This window comes from Homo sapiens, chromosome X, assembly GCF_000001405.40.
Source record: "Homo sapiens chromosome X, GRCh38.p14 Primary Assembly".
NCBI lineage: Eukaryota > Metazoa > Chordata > Mammalia > Primates > Hominidae > Homo > Homo sapiens.
Genome location: NC_000023.11, coordinates 102,855,159 through 102,867,447, shown reverse-complemented (window position 1 = coordinate 102,867,447; position 12,289 = coordinate 102,855,159). Strand labels below are relative to the sequence as shown.

The 12,289-nt window shown below is 38.7% G+C and overlaps 1 protein-coding gene and 1 long non-coding RNA gene across 9 annotated transcripts in view; both read right to left on the bottom strand.

Annotated features, from left to right (window-relative positions):
* ARMCX5-GPRASP2 (ARMCX5-GPRASP2 readthrough) overlaps window positions 1-12,289 on the bottom strand; it is a 308,717-nt gene that overhangs the window by 40,617 nt on the left and 255,811 nt on the right. For both annotated transcript variants that reach the window (NR_146584.3, NR_146587.2), the window contains one exon: window positions 2,296-2,406. The gene's annotated coding sequence lies outside the window, so the exon portion shown is untranslated. The remainder of the gene's footprint in view (window positions 1-2,295; window positions 2,407-12,289) is intronic.
* The window catches only part of LINC00630 (long intergenic non-protein coding RNA 630), a 195,371-nt gene that overhangs the window by 97,076 nt on the left and 86,006 nt on the right, over window positions 1-12,289 (bottom strand). For all 7 annotated transcript variants that reach the window (NR_146589.1, NR_146593.1, NR_146591.1 and 4 more), the window contains one exon: window positions 2,296-2,406. This is a non-coding gene — a long non-coding RNA (long intergenic non-protein coding RNA 630). The remainder of the gene's footprint in view (window positions 1-2,295; window positions 2,407-12,289) is intronic.

The following is a 12,289-nucleotide window of genomic DNA, read 5'->3' as shown; positions in this document are numbered from 1 at the left end:
CAACATTCCTGTCTGACAGCTCCCAGGTGACTAGATAGATTTGTGTCTTTCCCACCAGCCTGTGCTGAAAAAGTCTTCCCTGTTATTTAAAAACAGGCATGGTTCCTCTCACTTCTGGTAGGAGCAAAGGCCAGTGGCCTGATGGGACAAATAACCTTTCCTTCTCTGACCCCAGAAAATATCCATATTAATTGGAATTGAATATTGAAATGTACCACCTTTGCATACGTCTAAAACTTGCAGCCTCTGGCTTCATTATGAGTCAGATGCCAAATGGGAAAGATAGTGGGTGGGTCCTGAAACAAGGCTTTGAGTGTTTTCTGCATCTCTGTGAGCAGCCAGGCTTTCTACTGCTTGTACCATTAAAGTTGAATATAAAACTGTCATTTAAAAGAAAGAGTGCCAGAGCATCTCTTTCCTTCCCCACTGTATTGTGGGTCCATTGACACTTCCATAGAGCTTCGAAGTCCCCTTTCTGACAAGGTTTCTCTTCCAATTATTTTCTTCTTCTTCAGCTTTGAATTTATTCTTGTTCATACTTATCTCAGTTGCAATTTTTCATTTATCTGCAGGTTTATTTGATTAGTGCCTTCCTTGCCAACCAAAGAGTAAATTAGAATAAATCAGGGGCTATATTTATTTTTACTAGGGCTGCCATATTTATCACAGACAAACAAGTAAACAAATAAAATAAAAAGTTACAGGACACTCAGCTAAATTTGAATTTCAGATAAACATGGAATAATTTTTAGTATAAGAATGTTGTTTATCTAAAATTCAAATTTAACTAGGAATCCTGTATTTTATCCTGCAACATTTTTAGTCACAGTTTACCTTCAGGGCTTATCATAGTATTAAGAACATTGTAAGAGTTCAATTAAAATGTCTTGAATGGATGAATGCCAGATTGCAGGGAGGAAAGTATCATAACATCTTAGACAGTTGCAAATACATAAGATTGCATACTTGTATACTTATAATCCATTTCCAAAAACACTTCCTTAAAGTAAATTTTCAAAAGCCAGGAACAACCCATAGAGCTCATAGATAAAACTTTTGCAGAGTAGTAGTCAGTAAAAATGTCATACCACAATTCCACCATCAACATATTTTCGATTCTCCTGATATCTATACAGAAAAGGTAACAAAAAATCATATACACATCACATAATTAACTAAAAACCAAATTTGAACCAAAAAGACTCTCTTCATTTTTTACAGTGTTGATTGAAATACAGTAGGCAAAACTTACAAAATATGTAGTTGTAAGTAGAAACATTCACTAGAGATCAAAGGGTGTAGAAATAGCCAGGAAAACTGGCAAATAACCCTCATAAGGTTTTGAGTGTACCTCAGATATTGTTCTTTGTCATCATTGCTATAATTGTTTGACCTAATTGCTGTCTATAAATTAAAAAGCAGATTATTGTCTTCTCAGACCGTTTTCATGTTTCTCTTTTCTTTCATTAATTTCAACAAATACTGAATGTCTATTGTGTGTAAGACAATGTCTAAAACAAAATAAAAATCCGTGTACATATGAAAAAAAAATATGGTACTGACCTGGTCTTCTGTTGTACCACAGTAATGACCAAACGTTTTCATACAAAAGAATTGATGCATATGTTTTACATAAAAATGAATGCATATAGGGCCGGGTGTGGTGGCTGACGCCTGTAATCCCAGCACTGTAGAAGGCCGAGGCAGGCGGATTACGAGCTCAAGAGATGGAGACCATCCTGGCCAACATGGTGAAACCTCGACTATACTAAAAATACAAAAAATTAGCTGGGCGTGGTGGTGCGTGCCTACAGTCCTAGCTACTCAGGAGGCTGAGGCAGGAGAATCGCTTGAACCCAGGAGGCGGAGGTTGCAGTGAGCTGAGATCACACCATTGCATTCCAGCCTGGCAACAGGCGATACTCCGTCTCAAAAAAAAAAAAAAAAAAAGAATGCGTATAAAGAGTGCCTGTGTCCTAGCCCTTCTGCCTCTGTCCTGTAAGTCCAAGCAATGATCATTCCTCTTCCCCCTTTCCCTCATCGCTACATCAGGATGTGCTTGTGTACAAAATTTGATTGCATCTGATCACTTCCACGTCTTCCAATTGTGGCAATGGCATGACAGCAGGTCCATGACGGAGTCCAGGACCCACCCTATGTGATAGGATGTCAGCATTAACTAATTTCTTCAGTCCTCTGTGGCCGACCTCACATGCCTCCCCTTGGGGAGTTTAAATGGCACAACTCTATGTGTGCCACTATGTCAATACATATCAAAGGGTACACACCACTTACATAAACAATTTCCCTTGTAGAAATTCATCTTCAGAATGTAGTGAAGAATGTTGATAAGCATCTGGTTATAAGGACTGCCATCCTGATAATTCTCTTTTGTCACTTCTGAGCCTGAATTTGGGAAGAGAAACCAAATGAGACACAAACCCACAAAAGGGCAGAGGGAAATGTGGTTGTCAGCATACACACACACACACACACACACACACACTCACTCACACAAACTGAGACATTTATCATGTTGTGTTATATTTCTCCTAAGACAGCTTGCTGGACTCAAGGAAGACACATTCAACTCACTAGCGCAAATAGCCACAGGAATTGTGCCTGTAACTGTGCCCTTCAGCAGTGCACAGACTCTGAAAAGATGCCATCCACACAGTGTAGATAATAGGAAATATCAGGACAGTCTGAATAACAAGAAGTTGTGAAAATTGATTATGTTACATCCATAGGATGGAATTCCAGAAGGCAACAAAAACGAGTTATAATGAAAGTAATGATGAGAGATGACTTCTTGTGTACCAAATTAATGATTCTCATTATTTCTAATGTGTGGAGAACTAGGTACTTTCATACTGTGATATAGGCAATATAAATTAGTAATAGTATTTTGAATTGATTATTAATATAAAATGTTATAGTTCAAAGGGTTTTAAAATGAAACTTTTAGGAACTTACTATAAATAAATGCTTACAAACATATTTGCATATACACGAGCATGGCGTTAAGTACATTATTTTCGGTCATAGAAATGGTAAGGGAACTAAATTTTCATTGCTATAATACTAGTGAAATAAATTTGAGGGTATCCACACAATGAAATACATAGTCCAAAAAAAAAAAGTGAGATTTTGTGTTTAAGTATTTTAAGATGTTATCACAGACGTATATTTCCATGAAAAGATGGTTATAATAAGGGCAAACTTGGGTTACAAAGATAATAAAAGATCTGCATCCATTTTAGCTTACCCAGGTCTCCAGCTATTTATCCATATGTCTCAAAGCATTTAAAATATATATTTATTATTCTGACATAGTTTTCTCTTCCACATAGTAAAAGGCTCCATTTTTTTAATGGAGGCTGTCAGTATTCCTACACACTGGGAATGCCCAATTTTCCACTCAGACTTCTAGAAAACTCTGTAGGGCGGGGCTTGGGCCACAACTCCTCCCTCCCACTTTCCTACTGTGATGTTCAAGCTGCATGCAGTTCAGGCTTCAGTCACGAGGGGGCACCACCGTACCACCATTGTCAAACTTCTCCACAGACGTGTTTGCATGGAGCAAAAAAAAAATACCTCACTTAAAACCCAGGGTATGAATTTACATATAGAATGACTCTAATTCTGTCAGAATAAAATTGATAAGTGTAAAAGAAGACAGTAAAATCCTCTACTCTGGGGCATCCATAAGATGAAACATGAGATACCTCTGGTGCACACTGGCAGCCCGTGGCAGGCAGAATTATTGTAATTTGGTATATTTTTGAAAGTTTAGTGACTATGTATATTGCATTTTATGTGAATTATCTGTTCATATCTTTTGATGATTTCTCTACTCATTATTAAGACTTCTTCCATATCAAGGATATTATGTATTAACCATTCGAAATACTAAATATAGATAGCAAATAAACATATGAACTAGTGAAAGACTATACAATTTCTGTGTTTAAAAGCAATACAACAGAATTGAACACAAATGAGCAAAGACATCAATCATATCAATAACAATAAATTGGCTTAACTCATCTATTAAAAGTATTTCAGATTGCCTATTGAAGAAAAATCCAAAGCTGTGCTTTTCCAAGTGATACACGTAAAACAAACGTATTCATATAGGTTAAAAATGTAAGGATAAATATATACTAGGCAGTTGACAATATAAAGAAAGTAAGGGTTACAATCTTGATAATTAAAAGAAAAAAACTGAGACCAAAATGGATTTAAAGAGACAAAAAAACACAGTTGATAAAGTCAAAGGCTACAATTCACAAGGAAGATGGGAGCTACTCATATATGCAGTCATGTGGTAAAAATATTGATAGAGCAAAAACTACAGTAGTGCAAAGAGAAGTAGGAAGAAGCACACCATTTAATAATAGAAATTCTACCACATTTCCTATAATCCAAAAACGTTCAGGTGGAGAAAAATTTAACAACTGTAGAGAAGACTTAAGCAACATAATTCCAAGGGTAGATCTTACAGATACACTTATTCTAAATTGTGAAGCCTAATATTAGGCAACACACCTACTTTTCATATAAACATGGATCATTCATGAAAATTGACTCTATCTGAGGCTATTAAACAAAACTTGCACCCAAATGGAAATAGATTAAAGTTGCAGAATTTGGTGCATATAATCATAATGAAAACAGAGGATGTACGAATTTAGCTAGAGTTGCTATCAGAGGCTATTTTAAAGCATTAAATACCTATATCAATAAAAATGAAAATGAGTTAAACATTCAATTCAGAAAGCCTGATAAAGAACCACAATGTAAACTAAAAGAATGCAGACAAAAAGAATACTTAATGGTAAAATTAGAAGTGAATATGTAAAGAAATAACATCTCAGCACAGTTGGGATGAGAAGGAAGCAAACATTGGTGCTGTGAATAATGTGTCAAAAACTGTGCTGGGATCTGGAGGAGGGTTTCCTCTTGAACTCCTCACAATGCTCTCTTGAGTATAAGAATCAAGTTTGTGTGTGTGTGTGTACATATAGACATATAATGTTAAATTAGCTAGTTGGAGGACAAGAACACCTATAGTATTAATGTGTGTGTGTGGTTGTATGAAGACAAATATGCAAAAGAATACTATATTTTGTCTAGGGACGCTCTCATATGTAGTAAAGTAATAAAAAAAAAAGTGGAATAAATACCGCATTCTGGATATTGATTATTTCTAGGAGTGAAGAAAGGGTCATGGAGGAGTAAAGTTTTTCTTAACTTGGATTAATTTTATAGTTCTCTATACTTTTTATCTGAAATATTTCATAAGTAGCAGGGGTTTTAAGGGATATAGTGTTTTTTTCATAAGTATAATCCATACTCAGCAAAGGCTTAATATTGGGCCAAGTAGTGAAGTTAAAAATACCAGTCCCATCATAAACTGGGCGCAGTGGCTCACGCCTGTAATCCCAGCACTTAGGGAGGCCAAGGCAGGTGGATCACTTGAAGCCAGGAGTTCGAGACCACCAGCCTGGCCAATACAGCAAAACCCGTCTGTACTAAAAATACAAAAAAAAAAAAAAAATTAGCTGAGTGGTCAATATGTTACATGTATGCCATTTCCAATCAGATGCATTGTTTAAGAACTGAGGCTGATCAACTGGTAAAGGGTTCAGTGGGAAGCAAATCTGGGGCAAGGCACGGTGGCTCCTGCCTGTGATCACAGAATTTTGGGAGGCCGAGGAGGGAGGATTCCTTGAGCCCAGGAGTTCAAGATGAGCCTGAACAACATAGTGAGGTTCCATCTCTACCAAAAAAAAAATTAAAAATTAGGCAGAAGTGGTGGCACACGGCTGTAGTCCCAGCTACTCAGGATGTCAGGTGTCTCACACCTGTAATCCCATCTACTCGGGAGGCTGAGGCAGGAGAATCAACTGAACCCGGGAGGCAGAAGCTGCTGTGATCCGAGATCACGCCACTGCACTCCAGCCTGCGTAACACAGCAAGACTCTGTGTCAAAAAAAAAAAAATTAATCCTATCATGGTTGAAATTAACATTGGGCTATGTTCTTTGGGATTTATTTTGTGTATACGTGTATGCACATGCACACTGTACATGCATTACATATACAACTCATATAATAATTAAAATACCATATGTATAGTTTAGTACCCTGTATTTTTTGTTATTTTAGTTTTCCTTTTACCTTAAGTACTAACATGTGGATGAGGCATTCTGGTTAAATTACAAGGTAAAAGATATGATACAACTTTGCTTTTTTTTTTTTTTTAAGGTTCTTGCTCTATCACCCAGGCTGTAGTACAGTGGTGTGATCACAGCTTACTGCAGACTTGACTTCCTGGGCTCAAGCAGTCCTCCCACCTCAGCATCCTCAGTAGCTGGGACTACAGCCATGTGCCATCACTCCTGCCTAATTTTTAAAAATTTTTTGTAGAGATGGGATCTCACTATGTTGTTCAGGCTCATCTTGAACTCCCAGGCTCAAGGAATCCTCCCACCTCGGCCTCCCAAAGTTCTGTGATCACAGGGAGGAGCCACCGTGCCTTGCCCCAAATTTGCTTCCCAATTAACCCTTTACCAGTTGATCCAGCCTCAATTCTTAAACAATGCATCTGATTGGAAATGGCATACAGGTAACATATTGAATAATATGATATGTTTGGGTCTGCTCATGAGATTTCTATAGACTTCCTTTAATCTATATATCAAACACTGTCCAACAGTTAATTCATTATAGGTTCATGAAACATAATACCTGGCCATGTATTCCTACTCCTATTATTCACCCTTTTGATAGTTAAAATGAATAATAATAAAATATGCTAACAATTATAGGGTATATAGTATTAATAGATAAATTGCTTACTATAGATCATACAACCAAAAAGTGATGGTTCCCAGGGTCAAATTCAGAAACTTCTTGCCCCAAAGCCCATACCTCTAATCACTGTTTCTGTACTGTTTCTACACTGAGTGCTCCTCTGTGTTTGGGCTGAGGCCAACAAAGGGAAGGGGCTTTCTCAAAGACCTGTGGTCAGTTGATGGGTTTTGCAGCTGGGCTACAAGGTTAATGATTCTCATCTTCAGTCCAGCCGGCCCATTAATATTCCTGGCTCTTCTGTACTATTTCTTCTTGGGGCTCAATAAGAAATTCCAGAGGGATCATAGTGGATGGGAGGCAAGACTAGATTGTAGCTCCCATGTGGACAGACAGAGCAGTGTGTGGAGACTCACATCGTGTACTTTTGCTCCAGAACTACTGCAGAAATAAACAAGGAAAGCTGAGAGAACCCAAAGACCTTCTGAAAGAAGGAGATTGTTCCTGCAGGACCCAGGAGACACTCCAAATACTGTAAGTGCCCAAGCTATGGAAGTGGGAAAGGGGGGATCATCCACCCCCGAACACACACCCTCACTGGGGAACCTGAAAGACTAGACCATGGAAGAAGATTCTGACCTCACCTGGAGCTGAGTCAATTCAGAAAGCCGAGCGAAATACAGGGGTAGAGGAAGCAAGAGGAAAAACCCTGTGGGCTCCCTGGGTCCCCTAGGAAGCCATTTCTGCCTTGTCTCACAGAAGTCTTTGGGGAGGGCTACCAGAGCTACTGGGAAAAGACCACAGGGAGAAGGAAACCTCCAGTTGAACTCCAGTTGAACTTTGTAACAATTCCAACCAAATGTGAAGTCTCCTGGCCAGAACTCAGGGGAAGGCATGAATCTGGTGTACAGATGCCACAGGAAAGGAGGCATGAAAGCCCAGCTTGCTTTCACACCTCGGAGGCTGGTAGCCTGGGGCAAGTTCTCAGCCCTGCTCACCCACTGCCTGGAAACACACTTGGTGCTGTTGGGGGACCATGGTGGGGGTGAGACCAGCCTTTTGGGTTGCATGGGAGCTGGGTGACGCCTGTGACTGTCAGCTTTCTCCTACTTCCCTGACAACCTGCAAGACACAGCAGAGGCAGCCATAATCCTCCTGGGAATTTAACTCCATTGACCTAGGAACCACATTCCCATCCCCCACAGCAGCTGCAGCAAGAACCGCCTAAGGGAAGTCTGAGCTCAGACACGCCTAGCCCTGCCCCCACCTGATGGTCCTTCCCTACCCACACTGGTAGCTGAAGACAAAGGGCATATACTCTTGGGAGTTCTAGGGCCCTACCCACCTGATCCTCCCTATACTACCACAGCTGATGCTGTCTTCAAAGCGCCACCTCCTGGCAGGAGGCCAACCAGCAAAAAATAGCGCATTAAACAACCAAAACCAAGGACCCTCACAGAATCCATTTTAGCCCCCTGCCACCTCCACTGGAGCAGGCGCTGGTATCCACAGCTGAGAGACCTGCAGATGGTTCACATCACAGGACTCTGTGCAGACAACCCCCAGTTCCAGACTGAGCCTGCTAGGTGGCTAGATGCCTAGATGCCAAAGAGAGATAACAATCACTACAGCTCAGCTCTCAGGAAGCCATATCCCTAGGAAAAGGGGGAGAGTACTACATCAAGAGAACACCCCACGGGACGAAAGAATCTGAACAACAGCCTTGAGCCCTAGACCTTCCCTCTGACAGAGCCTACCTAAATGAGAAGGAACCAGAAAAACAATTCTAGTAACATGACAAAAGAAGGTTCTTTAACAATCCCCAAAAATCACACTAGCTCACCAGCAATGGATCCATACCAAGAAGAAATCCCTGATTTACCTAAAAAAGAATTCAGGTCAGTTATTAAGCTAATCAAAGATTCACCAGAGAAAGGTGAAGTCCAATTTAAAGAAATCAAAAAAGTGATACAAGAAACGAGGGAAGAAATCTTCAGTGAAATAGATAGCATAAATAAAAAACGATCAAAAGGAAATTATTTCAGGAAATAATGGACGCACTTAGAGAAATGCAAAATGCTCTGAAAATTCTCAGTAATAGAATTGAACAAGCAGAAGAAAGAACTTCAGAATGCAAAGACAAGGTTTTCGAATTAACCCAATCCAACAAAAACAAAGAAAAAATAATTTAAAAAATGAACAAAGTCTCCAAGAAGTCTGGGATTATGTTAAATGACTAAACCTAAGAATAATCCATGTTCCTGAGGAAGAAGAGAAATCTAAAAGTTTGGAAAACAGATTTGGGGGAATAATTGAGGAAAACTTCCCAAGCCTTACTAGAAACTTAGACATCCAAATACAAGAAGCTCAAAGAACACCTGGGAAATTCATCGCAAAAAGATCATCGCCTAGGCACATTGACCTCATGTTATCTAAAATTAAGATGAAGGAAAGAATCTTAAGAGCTGTGAGGCAAAAGCATCAGGTAACCTATAAAGGAAAACCTATCAGATTAACAGCAGATTTCTCAGCAGAAACCCTACAAGCTAGAAGGGATTAGGGTCCTATCTTCAGCCTCCTTAAACAAAACAATTATCAGCCAAGAATTTTGTATCCAGTGAAACTAAGCTTCATAAATGAAAGAAAGATACAGTCTTTTTCAGATGAACAAATGCTGAGAGAATTTGACACTACCAAGCCAGCACTACAAGAACTGCTAAACGGCGCTCTCAATCTTGAAACAAATCCTGGAAACACATCAAAACAGAACCTCTTTAAAGCAAAAATTTCACAGGACCTATAAAACAAAAATACAATTTAAAAAAAAACACAAGGTATACAGGAAAAAAAATAGCATGATGAATGGAATAGTACCTCACATCTCAATGCTAATCTTGAATATAAATGGCCTAAATGCTTCACTTAAAAGATACAGAATTGCAGAATGGATAAGAATTCACCAACCAACTATCTGCTGCCTTCAAGAGACCAACCTAACACGTAAGGACTCATATAAACTTAAGGTAAAGGGGTAGAAAAAGACATTCCATGCAAATAGACACCAAAAGTGAGCAGGAGTAGCTATTCTTATATCAGACAAAAAAACTTTAAAGTAACAGCAGTTACAAAAGACAAAGAGGGACAATATGTAACTATAAAAGGCCTTGTCTAACAGGAAACTACCGCAATCCTAAGTATATATGCACGTAACACTGGAGCTCCCAAATTTATAAAACAATTACTACTACGCCTAAGAAATGAGATAGACAGCAACACAATAATAGTGGGGGACTTCAATACTCCACTGATAGCACTAGACAGGTCATCAAGACAGAAAGTCAACAAACAGTGGATTGAAACTATACCCTAGAACAAATGGACTTAACACATATTTACAGAACATTCCATTTAAAAACCACAGAATATACATTCTATTTAATAGAGAATCTGACACTACCAAGCCAGCACTACAAGAACTGCTAAAAGGAGCTCTAAATCTTGAAACAAATTCTGGAAACACATCAAAACAGAAACTCTTTAAAGCATAAATCTCACAGGACCTATAAAACAAACATACAATTTAAAAAAACACAAGGTAGACCAAGATAAACTCCAAGATAGACCATACGATACACCACAAAATGAGCCTCAATAAATTTAAGAAAATTGAAATTATATCAAGCACTCTTTCAGACCACAGTGGAATAAAACTGAAAATCAACTCCAAAATGAGTTGAAGGTTCAAAACCATGCAAATACATGGAAATTAAATAACCTGCTCCTGAATGATCACTGGGTCAAAAACAAAATCAAGATGGAAATTTAAAAATTATTCAAAGTGAACGACAGTAGTGACATAGCCTATCAAAACCTCTGGGATACAGCAGAGGTGGTGCTAAGAGGAAAGTTCATAGCCCTAAACACCTACGTCAAAAAGTCTGAAAGAGCACAAACAGACAATCTAAGGTCACACCTCCAGGAATTAGAGAAACAAGAATAAACCAACCCCAAACCCATCAGAAGAAAGGAAATAACCAAGATTAGTGCAGAACTAAATAAAATTAAAACTAAGAAAAACAATACAAAAGATAAATGAAACAAAAAGCTGGTTCTTTGAAAAGATAAATAAAATTGATAGACCATTAGCAAGATTAACCAAGAAAAGAAGAGAGAAAATCCAAATAAGCTCAATTAGAAACAAAACAGGAGATACTACAACTGACACCACAGAAATATAAAAGATCATTGAAGGCTACTATGAACACCTTTATGCAAATAAACTAGATAACCAAGGGGAGATGGATAAATTCCTGGAAATATACAACCCTCCTAGATTAAACCAGGAAGATATAGAATCTCTGAACAGACCAATAACAAGCAGTGAGATTGAAATGGTAATTTTAAAATTGTCAACAAATAAAGTCCAGGACCAGATGGATTCACAGCTGAATTCTATCAGACATTCAAAGAAGAATTGGTACCAATCCTATTGACACTATTCTAAAAAACAGAGAAAGAGGGAATCCTCCCTAAATCATTCTGTGAAGCCAGTATCACCTTAATACCAAAACCAGGGAAGGACATAACAAAAAAGAAAACTACAGACCAATATCCCTGATGAACACAGATGTAAAAATCCTTGGCCAGGCATGATAGCTCATGCCTGTAATCCCAGCACTTTGGGAGGCCAAGGCAGGTGGATCACTTGAGGTCAGGTGTTCGAGACCAGCCTGGCCTACATGGTGAAACCCTGTCTCTACTAAAAATACAAAAATTAGCCAGGTGTGGTGGCACGCACTTGTAATCCCAGCTACTTGGGAGGCTGAGGTGGGACTGCTTGAACCTGGGAGGTGGATGCTGGAGCAAGCTGAGATCACACCACTGCACTCCAGCCTGGGCAACAGAGTGAGACTCCATTTCAAAAAACAAACAAAAAAAAAACCTCAACAAAATACTAGCGAACTGAATCCAACAACTTATCAAAAAGAAAATCCACCATGATCAAAAATCACATGACCATCTCAACGGACACAGAAAAAACATTTGACAAAATCCAGCATCCCTTTAGGATTAAAACTCTCAGAAAAACTGGCATACAAGGGACATAACTCAATGTAATAAAAACAATCTATGACAAACCCACAGCCAACATAATACTGAATGGGGAAAAGTTGAAAGCATTCCCTCTGAGAACTGGAACAAGACAAGGATGTCCACTCTTACCACTCCCATTCAACATAGTAGTAGAAGTCCTAACCAGAGAAATCATACAAGAGAAAGAAATAAAGGGGATCCACATTGGTAAAGAGGAAGTCAAACTGTCACTGTTTGCTGATATGATTGTATACCTAAAAAACCCTAAAGACTACTCCAAAAAGCTCCTAGAACTGATAAACTAATTCAGCAAAGTTTCCAGATGCAAAATTAATGTACAGAAATCAGTAGCTCTCCTATACACCAACAGCAACCAA